The following is an 18,111-nucleotide window of genomic DNA, read 5'->3' on the forward strand; positions in this document are numbered from 1 at the left end:
TCGGGGCAAGTTTGCTGGTAAAGTCCCTGTGCTTGTGATTGCTTCATCTATTGTATCACTACGGGGTGCTCTAAGGCCAGGCTGCCACAGAAGGAATCCCATGGCCACTGACATTGATGTAGCCTTGGCTCTCACTCAAATCATATGGCCATTGAGATTTGTAGCACTGAGGCCTAATCAAGACCTGTGGCTTTTATGGCCTACCTATTCTTAGGATTGCCTTGGATACTCAGGATCTTTTTTTTGGTTCCCTGTGAATTTTAAAGTAGTTTTTTTTCCAGTTCTGTGAAGAATGCCATCGGTAGTTTAGTAGGAATAACACTAAATCTATAAATTGCTTTAGGCGTTAAGGCCATTTTAATGATATTGATTCTTCATATCCATGAGCATGTAATGTTTTTCCATTTGTTTGTGTAACCTCTGATTTTTCTGAGTTAGTGTTTTGTTTTCTTTGCAGAGCTCTTTCATTTTCCTGGTTAGCTGTATTCTTAGGCGTGTGTGTGTGTGTGTGTGTGTGTGTGTGTGTGTGTGTCAATTGTGAATAGAATTGCATTCCTGATTTGGCTCTCAGATTGACTGTTGTTGGTATATTACGTCATCTGCAAAGAGCGATAGTTTAATTTCTTCTCTTCCTACTTAGGTGTCTTACTTCTTTCTTTTGCCTGATTGCTCTGGCCAGAACTTCCAATGTTATGTTAAATAGGAGTGGTGAGAGAGAGTTTCTTGTTTTGGCTTTCAAGGTGAATGCTTCCAGCTTTTGCCCATTCAGTAGGATGTTAGCTGTGGGTTTGTCATAGACAGCTCTTATTATTTTGAGGTATGTTCCTTCAATACCTAGTTTATTGAGAGTTTTTAACATGATGGGGTTCTGAATTTTATCAAAAGCCTTTTCTGCCTCTATTGAGATAATCATGTGGTTTTTATGTTTAGTTCTGTTTATGTGATAAATCACATTTATTGATTTGTATTATTGAAACAACTTTGCATCCCAGTGATAAAGCCTACTTGACTGTGGAGGATTAGCGTTTAGATGAGTTGCTGGATTCAGTTTGCCAATATTTCGTTGAGGATTTTTGCATCTATGTTCATCAAATATATTGGCTTGAAGTTTTCTTTTTTGTTTTGTTTCTGCCAGGTTTTCGTATCAGGATAATGCTAGCCTCATAGAATGAGTTAGGGAGGAATTCCTCCTCTTCAATGTTTTGGAATAGTTACATTAGGAATGGCACCAGCTCTTCTTTATACATCTAGTAGAATTCGGCTGTGAATCTGTCTGGTCCTGGAGATTTTCTGGTTGGTAGGCTTTTTATTACTGATTCAATTTTGGAATTCATTATTAGTCTGTTCATAAATTTAATTTCTTCCTGGTACAATCTTGTTAGGCTGTGTGTTTCCAGGAATTTATATGTTTCTTCTAGGTTTTGTAGCTTGTGTGCATAGCAGTATTCACAGTAGTCTCTGAGGGTTTTGTATTTCTGTGGGGTCAGTGGCAATATCTCCTTTGTCATTTCTGATTGTATTTGGATCTTCTCTCTTCTTGGATCTTTGGATCTTCTCTCTTCTACAGTGGTGGAGGCAGCAGGGTTCTAGGGTGTGGGGACTCCTGCTGGCAACTTTGCACAGAGTTGCACTGGTGGTGGTGGTAGCACAATGGCAGGGAGCTGATAGGTTCAGCTCTGTGTGCATTCTCTGTGTGCCACAGGCAAGAGTGGTAGCTCAGGACAGGGGGGAGATTTCACTGTTGTCTGTGCCTAGTTTCACTTGTGTGGCAGTGCTGGCAAAAGGGCAGGGTGCTGGCAGGGGCAGGACTGGCTGACCGTGTGCCTTCCAAGGCTTGGACTGCAATGGGGGTCTTGTGGGGAAAAGGGGAGTGGAGTGTACTCCCATTGCAGCAGTGGCAGTGTGGGGTGCATGCACACAGGCTTGCTGGCAGTGCAAGGAAGGCAAAACCTGCCTGTGCACACTCATACCAGCAAAGCAATGTGAGGGGTTTCCGTGGGCCCTGAGAAAGCTGCAGTGTGGGGAGGGGCAGGCAGGCTGCTGAGTGGCCACAGGGGCTGCCTCAGTGGAGTTCTCTGCTAGCCAGGCACAGTCCACCAGCACCGGAGCTATGATGTGGGCCCTGAAGACACCCAAGGCTGCCCTCTAAGCAGGTGCTACCAGACTGGGGCCCCAGCAGACCCAGGGGTGCTCAGTTCAGAGCAGTCCTATCTGATGGCCAAGATTGCCCTGCAGAATTTAGGTCTGACCTTTCCCCTAGGGCTAAATTCTCTTATGGTAGCAAGTCGAACTTGGAGATTTGTGCTTCCCTGGACATGCTCCACTATAGACGCTCCCACACCAAACCTTCTGGGCTCACCTTCGGCTGGTGTGCTGCCCCTACCACTTCTCTAAGTAGCATTCCCTGTCAACTCAGGTGTCCATGGTGGTCAACATATCTGCTGCTGAGATTTCAGAGTCCCATCGTGAGAACAGGTTGCTCCTTTCCAGTTCAACTCACCAGATCCCCTGGAGTTGTGTGGGGCCAGAAGTCAGTCTCAATGCATGGTTGCCCTGTGCAGGGTTCCCAGCTTCCTTCCCCTTTAGAACACCTTCTGTGTCTTTCCTCTGTCCACTCTCAGTGCTTTCCCTCTGAAGATCTGTAAGTAGTGTGCCAGTCATCTGGGTACCTCGTGGCAGCTGTTCCACCTGGCTACGGCTAGTTGACCATCTTGCTCTCTGAAACTGCTCTAGATATTCTAATTTATGTGCATAGAGGTGTTCATTATGATCTCTGAACATACTTTGTATTTCCATGGGATCAGTTGTAGTGTCACCTTTGTCATTTCTCATTGTATTTATTTAGATCTTCTCTCTCTCTTTTGTTGGTAATCTAGCTAACAGTCTATCTCTCATTTATACTTTCAAAAACCAAACTTTTGGTGTCATTGATATTTTGTATGGATTTTTGCATCTTGATTCTGTTCAGTTCTTCTCTAATTTTAGTTATTTCTTTTCTTCTGCTAGCCTTGGGATTGGTTTGTTCTTTTTTTTTTTTTCTAGTTCCGCTAGGTGTGACAGTAGATTGTTAATTTGAGATCTTTGTAACTTCTTGATGTAGGTGTTTAACACTATTAACTTTCCCCAACACTGCTTTTGTTGCAGGCCAAAATTTTTGATATGTTGTGTGTCAATTTTCATTAACTTCAAAGAATTTTTTGATTCCTGCTTTAATTTCATCATTCACCCAAAAGTCGTTCAGGAGCAAGTTGTTAAATTTCCATGAAAAGAAATACTTGATATTCATTTCTATTTTTATTGCACTATGGTCTGAGAGTATGCTTGGCATAATTTAAATTGTTTGAATTTATTAAGACTTGTTTATGACTGAGTATGTTGTCAATCTTAGAATATGCTCCATGTGCAGAGGAGAAACATGTATATTCTGTGGTTTTTGAGTGGAATATTTTGCAGATGTCTAATTGGTTGAGTGTTAAGTTTTAAACCTAGAATTTCTGCCAGGTACAATGGCTCACGCATGTAATCCCAGCACTTTGGGAGGCTGAGGTGGGTGGATCACAAGGTCAGGAGATCGAGACCATCCTGGCTAACACGGTGAAACCCCATCTCTACTAAAAATACAAAAAAATCAGCCAGGCTGGTGGCGGGCACCTGTAGTCCCAGCTACTTGGGAGGCTGAGGCAGGAGAATGGTGTGAACCTGGGACCCGGAGCTTGCAGTGAGCTGAGATCGCGCCACTGCACTCCAACCTGGGTGACAGAGCGAGACTCCATCTCAAATAAATGAAAAAATAAAAAAAATTTAAAAATCTAGAATTTTTTAGTTTTTTGCCTTGATGATTTGTCTAATGCTGCCAATAGGGTGTTGAAGTCTCCCAGTATTATTTTGTCACTGTCATTTAATAGGCCAAGAAGAACTTGTTTTAAGAGTCTGGGTGCTGCTATGTCAGGTATATATATATATTCAGGATAGCTCAGTCTTCTTGTTGAATTGAACCCTTTATTATTATGTAAGTCTGTTCTCCATTCTTCTTGATTGTTGTTGGTTTAAAGTCTATTTTATATGATATAGGAATAATGACCCATGCTCTTTTTTGGTTTTTCTTTCCATGATTTATCTTTCCCCGTATCTTTACCTTGAGGCTGTGGGTGTCTTTCCATGTGAGATCGGTCTCTTGAAGACAGCAGACAATTGAGTCTTATTTTTAAATCTAACTTATCATTCTATACCTTACAAGTGGGTTATTTAGACCATTTATGTTGAAGGTTAATATTAATATGTGAGATCTTGGTCCTTTCATTGTGTTGTTAGCTTGTTGTTTTGTGGGCTTGAAGTAATTGCTTTATAGTGTCTGTGGCCTTTGTGCTTAAGTGTGTTTTTGTGGTAGCAGGTATCCTTTTGTTTCCATGTTGAGTACTCCCTTAAGCACCTCTTGTAAGGCTTGTCTAGTGATTACAAATTCCGTTAGTATTTGCTTGTCTGAAATGAATTTCGTTTCTCATTTATTTATACAGCTTAGCTTATGATATGAAATTCTCCGTTAAAATTTTAAGAATGCTGAAAATAGGCCGACAACCTTTTCTGGCTTGTAAGATTTCTGGTGAGATATCCGCTCTTAACCTAATAGAGTTCCCTTTGTAAGTAACCTAACCTTTCTCTCTAGCTTCTTTGAAGATTTTTCTTTTTTATTTAGCTTGGTGAATCTGATGACTGTGTGTCTTGCGGATGATTGTCTTGTATAGTATCTTGCAGAGGTTTCTCTATTTCTTGAATTTACATGGCAACCTCTTTAGTGAGATTGGGGAAATTTTCAAGAATTATATTCTTAAATGTGTTTTCCAAGTTGCCTACTCTCTCTCCTTTTCTCTCATGAATACCAATGTGTCATAGGTTTGGTCTCTTTATATAGTCTCATAATTCTCAGAAATTTTCTTCATATTTAAAAATTCTTTTATCTTTATTTTTATCTTGCTGACTTTGTTTGAAAGACCTGTCTTCAAGGTCTTAGATTCTTTCCCAAGCTTGGTCTATTCTGTTGTTATTTTTCCAGATCGTATTGTGAATTTCTTGTAATGAATGTTTTAATTTCAGAAGTTCTATTTGATTGTTTCCTAATATGGCCATTTCATCTTTCAACTCTTGCATGTTTTAATGGATTCATTGGATTGATTTAACTTTTCCCTTTATCTTGGTGAGCTTCCTTACCATTCCAGTTCTGAATTCAATATCTGTCATTTCAATCTGTTTAAGAACCGTTACTGGGGAGCTAGTATGCTCATTTGGAGGTAAGGGGACACTCTGACTTTCTGAATTGCCAGTGTTCTTGTGCTGGTTCTTTCTTATTTGAGAGGGCTGGTGTCCCTTTGTCTTTTTGAATTTGCTTTCATTTGAATGGGGCTTTGAAAAAATTTTTATTTTTCTTGAGGGTTTAATTGTGGTATAAATTGAGTATAGTTGATTGGCTTTGTCTCTGAGTCCTTTCAGAGGGCCAAGGCTCTGCACAGGACCTTTATTTGTCGCTAGGTTCTTGCCCTGGGTTTTACAGGTGATATATACTGGAACAACATTTTTGGTGTAGTAACTTGGGCTATGATCCAGTAGATAGCACTGAAGAGTAACAGCCAGCAGATAGGCTCTTACTCAACTGTATGGATCTTTTATCTTTCAGTGCATTTACAGCAGTACTCTGTGGTGGGGGGTGGGAGAAAGATGACATCCTTGCCAGTTCCATTGCCAGGTTTTAGGGGAGCCTCCTCCAATCACTGGCACCATGCCTGCATTTCATTTGTTTGGTGTTCCAAGCTGTGGGGTTCCCCTGGGCAAAACCTATGTCTGACAGACAGGCCACACCCTTTCTGGACCTGCCCTGTGGAAAGAGGAATGCCCCACTGCCACACCTGCCCATGAGCCTGCGTCTTAGTCTTCTTAGTGCTCTGAGAGTGGAGGCTCTTTCCCTGCATAAGCACCAGCCAAAGATCTCAGTTTGGCACTCTTGAATTGTGTGCTGTTCCTTTTGGGGTATTGGGACCTGGCTCATCGCTTTGTCCTCTGACCTCTCAAGGTTGGCTGCTGGCTGTGTTAGGGGAGCCAAAGTGCTTCCAGGCCCCCGGGAAAGCATTCAGGTGGGGCTGCCAGCAAAGCACTTATGCTGGACAGTGAAGGCTGTGCTGTGTACATGCCCTTGTGGCAGCAGCCAGGCAGTTGACTTGGAAGGAGCTAGCAGATAAGGGTTATGCAGAACAGAAATGCCACAAGCACACAGGAAGCCCTGTTCTCTCCTGGTCCAGCAGCCAGCTGGGGTTAGAGGTACTCAGAGGAAGATGAGAGCCTTGGAGAACGGGCACCTATGGTAGCATTTTGCTGCAGCTGCACGACGTGCAAAAATCTCCTAGACTCCACTAGGCTGGAGCTGTCTCTGCCTACTTTTTGGGAAGATCTCTCTGCCAATTTAAATGTCTGTGGGGGTTGTGGGGTCTTTTGTAACTAGTATCCTAGAGGTCTGCAGCAAGAGTGAGTATCTGTGCAATCAATTCATTCACCCCTTACTTAGTTGGTATTTAGGGCTGGTGACTAGTACTAGTGCTGAGAAACCTTGTACAGGATTTCCAGCTTCCTCCCTCTTCAGCTTAGGCATCTGCATAGCTTCTCTATAAACTCTGTTTTCTCTATGAAGATCTGTTTGAAATATGTTGGTTTACTTGATATTTTGAGCTCTCTCAGTGGGAGAGGTGCTCCATGGCTGTGTGTAGTTGGCCATCATTTCCCCCACAGGTACATTTGAACTCCATAATTCCCCCCCAAAAAAACTTTCCCCAACATTTCCTCTGAGGCATTAGATGGTGGGTTGCATGTCTCAATAGTAATCTTTACTCTAGGTAACTGTAGGATTATAGTTGTTCTTATAATGCTCTTGAGCAATACCTGCCACTTTTCATCATGAGTGAGTTCTGCTATGTTGGGTGAACAAGGTGAGGACCTTGTGTGAGTCCTTCAGGTAGCCCCAGACCTATTTGAATAGACATACACAGTACTTTCTGATTAAGGTTTGTTCTGCTCCCTCTGGAAGCGGAGTCCCAAGTTCCATACTGGAGATGCAGACTTCTGCTGAGCTGGAGATAGTGTAGGCACAGGTAAATAAAAACATGATAAAGTTTTCCTAACATTTTTTTTTTTGTTTTGTTTTGTTTTTTGTTTTTTTTTTTGTTTTTTTTTTTTTAATTTTTTTTTTTTTTTATTATACTCTAAGTTTTAGGGTACATGTGCACATTGTGCAGGTTAGTTACATATGTATACATGTGCCATGCTGGTGCGCTGCACCCACTAACGTGTCATCTAGCATTAGGTATATCTCCCAATGCTATCCCTCCCCCCTCCCCCCACCCCACAACAGTCCCCAGAGTGTGATATTCCCCTTCCTGTGTCCATGTGATCTCATTGTTCAATTCCCACCTATGAGTGAGAATATGCGGTGTTTGGTTTTTTGTTCTTGCGAAAGTTTACTGAGAATGATGGTTTCCAATTTCATCCATGTCCCTACAAAGGACATGAACTCATCATTTTTTATGGCTGCATAGTATTCCATGGTGTATATGTGCCACATTTTCTTAATCCAGTCTATCATTGTTGGACATTTGGGTTGGTTCCAAGTCTTTGCTATTGTGAATAGTGCTGCAATAAACATACGTGTGCATGTGTCTTTATAGCAGCATGATTTATAGTCCTTTGGGTATATACCCAGTAATGGGATGGCTGGGTCAAATGGTATTTCTAGTTCTAGATCCCTGAGGAATTGCCACACTGACTTCCACAATGGTTGAACTAGTTTACAGTCCCACCAACAGTGTAAAAGTGTTCCTATTTCTCCACATCCTCTCCAGCACCTGTTGTTTCCTGACTTTTTAATGATTGCCATTCTAACTGGTGTGAGATGATATCTCATAGTGGTTTTGATTTGCATTTCTCTGATGGCCAGTGATGACCAAGGTAATTTACAGATTCAATGCCATCCCCATCAAGCTACCAATGACTTTCTTCACAGAATTGGAAAAAACTACTTTAAAGTTCATATGGAACCAAAAAAGAGCCCGCATCGCCAAGTCAATCCTAAGCCAAAAGAACAAAGCTGGAGGCATCACACTACCTGACTTCAAACTATACTACAAGGCTACAGTAACCAAAACAGCATGGTACTGGTACCAAAACAGAGATATAGATCAATGGAACAGAACAGAGCCCTCAGAAATAATGCCGCATATCTACAACTATCTGATCTTTGACAAACCTGAGAAAAACAAGCAATGGGGAAAGGATTCCCTATTTAATAAATGGTGCTGGGAAATCTGGCTAGCCATATGTAGAAAGCTGAAACTGGATCCCTTCCTTACACCTTATACAAAAATCAATTCAAGATGGATTAAAGATTTAAACGTTAGACCTAAAACCATAAAAACCCTAGAAGAAAACCTAGGCATTACCATTCAGGACATAGGCGTGGGCAAGGACTTCATGTCCAAAACACCAAAAGCAATGGCAACAAAAGCCAAAATTGACAAATGGGATCTAATTAAACTAAAGAGCTTCTGCACAGCAAAAGAAACTACCATCAGAGTGAACAGGCAACCTACAACATGGGAGAAAATTTTCACAACCTACTCATCTGACAAAGGGCTAATATCCAGAATCTACAATGAACTGAAACAAATTTACAAGAAAAAAACAAACAACCCCATCAAAAAGTGGGCGAAGGACATGAACAGACACTTCTCGAAAGAAGACATTTATGCAGCCAAAAAACACATGAAGAAGTTTTCCTAACATTTTAAAGTTGTCTTCTTCTTGAACCAGTGTTTGCTTGGTTCCTGAAAAACTTTGAATGTTTTCCAGAGTTCTGGCGAAGTTGGTTCTGACAGTTTCTGCTGTTTTCTTTTGTTTCTCTGGAGGGAAAGGAGCTTGGAGCTTCCTAGGCTAATATTTTGCTCACATCACGCACTATTCCCTGCCCTGAGGATTTTTGATGTGTGTCTTGGAAACTTTTGTGGAGTTTTCTGCTTGCTGATAACTTGGGCTTTGTAGAGCTAAGTGGAATTAGGGAAATAAACATAAGAGCACATTGGGAGGCCGAGGCAGGCAGATCACGAGGTCAAGAGATCACGACCATCCTGGCCAACATGGTAAAACCCTGTCTGTACTAACAATACAAAAATTAGCCGGGCGTGGTGGCGTGTGCCTGTAGTCCCAGCTGCTCAGGAGGCTGAGGCAGGAGAAGCACTTGAACCGGGGAGGCGGAGGTTGTAGTGAGCCAAGACTGCACCACTGCACTCTAGCCTGGGTGACAGAGTGGGACTCTGTCTCAAAATAAATAAATAAATAAATAAATTTAGAAAAGCACAGGGGGCTGACTCGAACAGTTTGATGCTAACCTGGATTCAATGTGTAGCAAAAAGAAACCTGGATGTTGGGACACTCTTGATGAGGAAGATTTTAACTTTGCTCATTATACCAAACTTCTAGGAGTTCTAAATCTTGATTAGCCTCAGGAGGGAAGATCTGAAACTTCCTTTGTTTTCTCCTTCCCTGCATCCCTAGGGTTTTTCTGAACTAACTTTCCTCAATGAATAACATTCCTTAGAGACACGTTGAAGAAGAAAAGACAGAGGGAGAGAGAAAGAGAGAAACTGTGGGGCATTCCATGGCACTATGATTTCTGGACCTTTTCCTAAATACATATGTGAAGACAGTTTTCTCGTTCACCGAGAGGGAGGAAGTCGTAGCTTCTTCTGGGCCACAGAGCAGTCTCAGCACTAATCAGGCATGATGTAGTCTGGGTTGAGACTTAGAGTCATATGGCTTTTCACTTCAATTTCTTTGAAGGTAAGTGAATTCCAGCAGTTTCCATCTGTGTAGAAAAGAGTGAGAGAGGTTCAGGATGGAAAGTTTTAGACCTGCCAACTTTCTAGAGCAAGGGCATTCAGACCCTAATGGGTAAGCTATGAGAGAGGCAAAGGAGATTGGCTCATCTCCAAATTCCCCCTGTACAGTAGAGAGCACTTTCACTTCTTCTCTGATTCATTGCTGGATGCAGTACAACTCCTTGCTATTGTCAAAACCATCCTTGACATCATCTCTACTTTCTTTTCATCTGGTTCTGGGTAAAGAGAGATTGTGGAAATCACTCTACTGAGCTCTTCCGTCAAGTCTGTACTTGTTACCCAACTGCCATTTTATAAGGGGTCTCAGAGAGAGGACTGAATTATGACTGATCACTGTCTCAGTGAAGACAGAAGGGAGAGAAAGCAGTTTCTTTTAGCATTGGCTATAGCCTGATTTGGAGGGGCTTTGTTCACAGATTCATTCTTTAATTGATCAATTCATTGATTCACTCAAAAGTAGTACCACCTCATTCTGTATGAGATATAGTGAATAAAAATTACAATCTTTTTGCTTTCGTGGTGCTTACATTGTAAAATGAGTCAGAAAATAAAAAGTAAACATATAATTTCTCATGATGAGCGCTAAAAAGATAAATATATTCTGATGAGGTGATAGAGAGTGAAGGGTTGTGTGTGTTCTTTTAGACAGAATGAAGAGAAAATTTGAACTCAGATACTTGACCAAAAACCTGAAAGAAGTGATAAATAAAGCCCAGGAATTCTAAGTTACTCAGGATGCAGGGTCTGTTTCATGTGAGTGACAGTGGAATCTTCAATTTCTAATATGATTTTGGGAGAGGAATGTGTTCATAGAAGAAATATAGGCCCTGAGGTGACTTCCTAAATTTACTGTTAGACCGAGACCAAAGCCATCTGTATTTAGGACATGGGCTGAACCCAGATGTCACACTTGGTGGTTTTGGTCTCCTGATGGATCCAGGGCTTTGGATTATCCTGAAGCCAGAGGATGTTGAAATGGGACTAAAGTCTCCTATTTGTCAGAGCCAGCATAAGTTCAGTGTGGGACAGTTAGAGTCTGAGGATAAAAGTTTTTCCTCTGTATTTCGCCTGAATTTTCTTTCTCTAAGAACAGTGGAAAGAGTTGTCAGAGTCTTAGAGAGAGATGGTCAGGCTCAACTCAGCCCAGGTGCTGGTTGCCTGCCTTCTGTGAGAAGACACATTTACTGAGGACAGGAGCAAGGGAAGCTTTCTTCCCAAGATAGGGAGGAAGAAAGGAGTAATCCATGCAGGGAACCAGCTGACTAGTAGATTGAGAGATACTCAGTCCTTGCCCTCGAGAATTTATAGAAACTCCTCAGGAAACTTCCCTACCCTCACTCTCACCAACGCACAGCAATGATGATGAAGGTAAGGCAGAAGCTTTAAAATAAACATCCTGTAAATGGAACCTACATTCTGATGAAACAAAGAAATCAAGTAGCCAGCTCAGGGGTGTTGGCCAGGAAAACTTTTGTATAGAACATGATACTGGAGCAGGAATTTACAGGACAGAAAATACTTGGCAGACAGAGTAGTTTAGGACCTTCCAGGTGGAAGGGAGTTAGTGGTAGAAATGAATACACTGTGGTCCTGGAGGCTGACTGCTGGCTGTTCAGAGCAGAGTGGGAGGCAGGTAAACTGAGCATTGAGGGTGCAATGGTGCATGCTGGGCAGGGTATAGGCTCTCATGTCTAAGGTATGGCACTGGGGACTGGGATCATCTTCTTGGCCAACTCAATTTTCTTGGCATATTGTGCATAGTTAGAAAAATTGCCCCTAAACCAGGCGTGGCAGCTCACACCTATAATCCCAGCACTTTGGGAGGCCGAAACGGGTGGATCACCTGAGGTCACGAGTTTGAGACTAGCCTGGCCAACATGGTGAAACCCCATCTCTACTAATAATACAAAAAAATTAGCTGGGTATGGTGGCACATGCTTGTAATCTCAGCTAGCCGGGAGGCTGAGGCAGGAGAATCTCTTGAACCTAGGAGGTTACAGTGGAGGTTACAGTGAGTTGAGATCATGCTATTGCACTCCAGCCTGGGTGACAAGAGTGAAACTCCATCTCAAAAAAAAAAGAAAAGAAAAGAAAAGAAAAATCGCGCCTGACCATATACAGGGAATAGTAGAAGACAAATGCCTACCATTCTAGTCATGCTGTGCAGCCTGTGAGCAGGAGGGGGATTTCAGAACAGTTTCTACTTCTGTTGCGATGAGAAGCCATATTAACTCTTTTTTTTTTCTCTAGATTTCAGAAGGGAAAAGCACTCAGAAGTAAATGTTGGGGAATTACTCTAGCGCCACTGAATTTTTTCTCTTAGGCTTCCCTGGCTCCCAAGAAGTATGCCGTATCCTATTTGCGACCTTCTTCCTCTTGTATGCAGTGACAGTGATGGGAAACGTGGTCATCATCATCACTGTCTGTGTTGATAAATGTCTGCAGTCCCCCATTTATTTTTTCCTGGGCCACCTCTGTGTCCTGGAGATCCTGATCACATCCACCGCTGTCCCTTTTATGCTCTGGGGGTTGCTGCTTCCAAGCACCCAGATCATGTCTTTGACAGCCTGTGCTGCACAGCTATATTTATACCTTTCTTTGGGTACCTTGGAGTTGGCATTAATGGGAGTGATGGCTGTGGACCGTTATGTGGCTGTGTGTAACCCTTTGAGGTACAACATCATTATGAACAGCAGCACCTTCATTTGGGTGATAATTGTGTCATGGGTTTTGGGGTTTCTTTCTGAAATCTGGCCAGTTTATGCCACTTTTCAGCTTACTTTCTGCAAATCAAGTGTGTTAGATCATTTTTATTGTGACCGAGGACAATTGCTCAAGGTATCCTGTGAGGACACTCTTTTCAGAGAGTTTATTCTTTTTCTAATGGCTGTTTTCATTATCATTGGTTCTTTGATCCCTACGATTGTCTCCTACACCTACATCATCTCCACCAACCTCAAGATTCCGTCAGCCTCTGGCTGGAGGAAATCCTTTTCCACCTGTGCCTCCCACTTCACCTATGTTGTGATTGGCTATGGCAGCTGCTTGTTTCTCTACGTGAAACCCAAGTAAACGCAGGCAGCCGAGTATAACAGGGTAGTGTCACTGCTGGTTTTAGTGGTGACCCCTTTTCTGAACCCTTTTATCTTCACCCTGAGGAATGACAAATTCATACAGGCCTTTGGAGATGGCATGAAACACTGCTATAAACTCCTTAAAAATTAAGTCTGTCCTGAGTACAGTTCAAATCCTCATCATGGATTTGAGTAATCTGATAGTACTAATTGAAACAAAATGATCATTCTCAAAATCAAACAGCTCATGATCTACAATGGATATTTAAGCTATGACATGGCTTCATTTTGTATTAAATTCTTTTAATACATCGTTTAAAAAATAAATAGATGTATACATTTATTAGCCCTCTGTACTTATAATGCATGTTGCAAAATAAATGTGAGAAGTGTAAACATCTGAAAGATGTTCAATGTTTTGAACCCTTGGTCCTGATAATGGGAAAAACAAGAGAAGTGTGATATATTTTCTTTCTTTCTTTGTTTCTTTTCTTTTCTTTTTTTTTTTTTTGAGAGAGAGTCTCGCTCTGTCGCCCAGACTGGAGTGCAGTGGCTTGATCTTGGCTCAGTGCAAGCTCTGCCTCCTGGGTTCACACCATTCTCCTGCCTCAGCCTCCCAAGTAGCTGGGACTACAGGCGCCCTCCTCCACGCTCGGCTAATTTTTTTGTATTTTTTAGTAGAGATGGGGTTTCCCTGTGTTAGCCAAGATGGTCTCGATCTCCTGACCTTGTGATTGGCCCGCCTCGGCCTCCCAAAGTGCTGGGATTACAGGCGTGAGCCACTGCGCCCGGCCAAGTGTGATATATTTTCTTACCTCTGACATATTTGATCCTATGTGCCGAGATTATCTTCCTCTACATTGCCACGTGGTTTCAAGGTGTTGTCTTATTGTGTAAACTCACTAGCACTTCCCTGAGTAATCTCAGGGCCAGCACAAGCTTCAAACTTTCGTCGTTGATTCCTGCTTGCAGTGTCCAATAGCGATAGTGCCTTTCTTTGGGTTTTCCGATTGGCATTTGTGAGAGTGAACTCACTCCCCGACCCTAACTGCTTAGCAATCTTAAGGCTGAATGCGTGCTCCTACAGGTGCATCTCAAATTGGTGGGCCTTCTCAGGCATGGATGGAAGATCTTAGAAAGAGGCATTTTATGTAATGTCACCCACGTTATTAGGCCAGCTTCAGATGAGGGAGGGAAATGGAACTGTGTCTGGGAGGCGATGTGATAAGGGACAGCTGGGCTTTCTGTGTCTTTGGGCTGAGGGTGGAATGGAGAGAGGGCAGAGGGAGTGGTAGCCTACAGCCCCTTTTCCTGCGTCCCACACATTCTTCAATCCTGACATAGCACTTTTGTCCTCAGTGCTCCCTTCGCTTTCCCACTTCCTGCTCAGTTTCTTTCTTAATTTCTTTTTGTGTCTCTCCCTCTGTGACTACCAGACTCATTTGTTTGTTTCTTTTCCCCTTTATTTTCTCACAAAACCCAAGTTTATCAAGCTGCCTTCTAGCTCTACACTGAACTCCATTAACTCCTGTATCTTAGTTCCTGTATTGCCCCATCCTCTCCCTAGTTCCTGTCATACCCACTATTTGCAATTAATATTTCTGTATTGCATGACACATTTTTTCTGCATCATTACACAAGTGATTACACAAGTCTGGTGGCAACACAAATGGACATCAAAAGATGACTACTTATATACTTTATGGGACTTTCATTCGGTTGCTATTATATGAGGGTTGGAAACATGAGGGTTTTCTGTATCAATAAAAAGAAAGTGGGCCGGGCGCAGTGGCTCATGCCTGTAATCCCAGCACTTTGGGAGGCTGAGATGGGTGGATCACGAGGTCAGGAGTTCGACACCAGCCTGACCAACATGGTGAAACCCCGTCTCTACTAAAAATACAAAAATTAGCCAGGCGTGGTGGCGTGCACCTGTAATCCCAGCTTGAGTATCACTTTGGGAGGCTGAGGCAGGAGAATTGCTTGAACCCGGGAGGCAGAGGTAGCAGTGAGCTGAGATGGTGCCATTACACTCTAGTCTGGGCAACAGAGTGAGACTCCATCTCAAAAAAAAAAAAAAGTATATCTCCAAGATACACTGTTGAGTAAGAAAAGTGAAGAAGACAAAATGTTTGTTTCCTTTTTGTAAGAACAAAGTACAACTTAATTTATATTGATACTTGTATATAGTTGCATAAAGAAACATCTGAGAGGGAAACCAGGAAATGGGTTACCTTGGGGATGTGTTTTTGGGAATGGCATTTATGGGAATGGTCTGTGAAGGAAAACTGTTTATGGTACAGCTGTGTACATTGCTTTCACTTCTACTTCATAGTAATGTTGTACTATCTCAAAAATAAAAGACTTCATTCTGCTTCTAATTGCTAAGGAAAGTTTGCTTGTTTATCCACATAATTGATTGTAACAAAGGAGATATTTTGGCAGAAGGGTCTCTATTAACTCTGAATATTTTGTAAAGTTTCTCTGGAGCTAAGTAGGATAAATGGAAGAATAATAAGGGAGAAGAGATGGAGCTTCACATTTTTCTTATCCTGAGGCCTTCACTACTTTTATAAAAATATAGAGATATTCTTTAGAAATTGCAGGTATTACTTTACATTATCTTATGTATGTTGAAAATATCTTTTTTTAATCTGTTTTTTGACTTTTTAGTTTTTAATGAAATCTTGTCATGTAAAAGTATTAATTTTCCTTTAGTCAAATTAATAATTTCTTTTGTGATTTATATGTGCATATATTGTTAACAAATTTTTACTCAAAAGATTCAAAAATTGTCTTTTAAAATATCTAGGGTTGAGCGTGGCGGCTCACACCTGTAATCCCAGCACTTTTGGAGGCTGAGGCAGGCAGATCACTTGAGGTCAGGAGTTTGAGACCAGCGTGGCCAACATGGTGAAACCTTGTCTCTACTAAAAATTTTAAAAAATTAGCCAGGCGTGGTGTCATGTGCCTGTAATCCCAGCTACTCAGGAGGCTGAGGCATGAGAATCACTTGATCCTGGGAGGTGGAGGTTGCAGTGAGCCAAGATCATGCCACTTCACTCCAGCCTGAGTGACAGAGTTAGACTCTGTCTTAACAAAAAAAAAAATCTATGTGGTTTGACAATGTAGATGCAGGAGGACAATGTTTTTAAAAAGAGAAGAATGGGGATAGTATATGCAAATATTTTAAAAATGCTTTCATTAATTATATTGGGGGATATAGTATTAGTATTTTATAATTGTTGCATGTATAATGTCAGATAAAGCAAATGAATACTTACTGAATATTCTAATTTTAAATGTAATATAGAGGAGCTTAGGGAAAGTCGTTAGATTCTTCTGTTTAAATTATATATATGGTGGATTCATGGTTAATCTATCTACCACCCATTTACCTATTTACCTGCTGGCTTCGTCCACTCAAAATTCTAATAACATTGACCATTCCAACAAATATAATCATTCCTAGGTTCAGATTGTGGTATTACAGTAATTTTTCTTGATGTGAGAATCTAGGGCTTCTTGGAGAAATGACTGATTCCAGGTTTAGTACAGGAAACGTGTAAGAGGAACTTGAAACAGATGAATATGTTTAATTGCACCATGTGGATGAAATGAGCAAAACCCACATCATGGAAAAATCGACTGTCAAAATACCTGAGTTCTTCAACAAGTAGATTGGAAGAAAGTGAATGGGCTATACAGAGAATCTATAGATTAAAATAGACTTAAAACATATAGAATTACAAAATGTACAATACTAAGCTATAATGTGTAACAATTCAAGCTAGCATGATTAAACTAGTCAGGAAAGCAAGGCAGTAATTTCTTAAAGGTTGAGAATTGTAGTTTTTGCTGATGATGTGAGCATTGCAATTGTAATGGAACACACAAATGGATTTATGTGACTGCTATCAAAATTCTGTTTCTTGATCTTGGTAGTGATTGCAATTATTATGAAGTGGTTCACCTTGTAATAGTTACACATATTTTTATGTGGTGTTTCTGTCTCAACATTTTATATTAAAATCAAATAATTAAAATTATTTTGAGGCAGGTGAGAGGTTGCTGACAGCCTGCACTCTCTAGAAATCAGAGCCTTAGGCAAGTATTAAGTGCTAAAGATTTATTTGAGGAAGGATGCAATCCTAGTATAGCAAAAGTAAATGAAGTGAGGCAGGAAGCATGGTAAACAAGGCAATGTGATCAATTACCATGCTGACCATTGTTTCCTGATGATTAGCCAATGACATGATTGTCTCTATAGAAAGCCCCTAAAATTCTACCAAAAAAACTCCTGGAAATAATAAGAGATTTAGTAAGGCTGAAAGAGACAAGGTCAATATGCAAAAGTCAATTACTTTTCTATATACCAGTAATGAACAATTATAATTGAAGTATATAAACTAATATCATTTTTTTACAGCACCCAAATAAGTGAAGTACTTTGGTATCAATCTAAAAAAATAAGTTCAGGATATTATTAGAAACCTATAAATTACTGGTGAAATAAATCAAAGAAGCTCCAAATACTTGGAGAGATGTACCATACTCATGGATGGAAAGATACAAAATTGTTAAGATGTTAATTGTTTACAATTTTGTTCTATGGATTTAGTGCAATTTGAATCAAATCTAGCAAGATTTTATGTAGATATTGACAAAATATTTCTAAGATGTATAGCGAGGCAAAGGTAATAGAAAGGCCAAGATAATTTTGAAAAAAGAACAAAGTCAGAAGACACACCTGAAAGTCTTAATTTTAAGACTTCTTGTAATGTTACAATGATCAAGTAATGATAGACATATAAATTAATGATAGACATATAAATTAATGATAGACATATAAATTAATACAAGAGAATAGAGATCCCAGAAATAGACCTAAGCAACTATCAGCTTATTTTTGGCAGCATTGGGAAGGAAATTCAATAAAAAAGGGTTAACCTTTCTAAAAAAAATAGCCCTGGAACAGTTCAATGTTTACATGCAATAAGTGTGAATGCAAAATTGTGAAATGTCTAGGAGAAAATCTAGGTGACCTTGAGTGTGGTGGTTAGTTTTTACATAAAACACCAAAAGTACAATGAATGAAAGAAAAAAAA

General features: G+C 40.8%; 1 pseudogene, besides 2 other annotated features; it reads left to right on the top strand.

Moving 5' to 3' along the window:
• Positions 402–964: an enhancer, noted in NCBI's record as "NANOG hESC enhancer chr7:141575140-141575702 (GRCh37/hg19 assembly coordinates)". NCBI's record gives its function as "activates a minimal SCP1, AML or CMV promoter by ChIP-STARR-seq in primed H9 embryonic stem cells {active_cell/tissue: H9 hESC(primed)}" and the evidence as "EXISTENCE:reporter gene assay evidence [ECO:0000049][PMID:30033119]".
• Positions 1,438–1,938: an enhancer, noted in NCBI's record as "H3K4me1 hESC enhancer chr7:141576176-141576676 (GRCh37/hg19 assembly coordinates)". NCBI's record gives its function as "activates a minimal SCP1, AML or CMV promoter by ChIP-STARR-seq in primed H9 embryonic stem cells {active_cell/tissue: H9 hESC(primed)}" and the evidence as "EXISTENCE:reporter gene assay evidence [ECO:0000049][PMID:30033119]".
• OR9A1P (olfactory receptor family 9 subfamily A member 1 pseudogene) lies at positions 12,210–12,998 on the top strand (annotated as a pseudogene).

The sequence above is a fragment of the Homo sapiens genome, chromosome 7, assembly GCF_000001405.40.
Source record: "Homo sapiens chromosome 7, GRCh38.p14 Primary Assembly".
In the NCBI taxonomy this organism is placed as follows: Eukaryota; Metazoa; Chordata; class Mammalia; order Primates; family Hominidae; genus Homo; species Homo sapiens.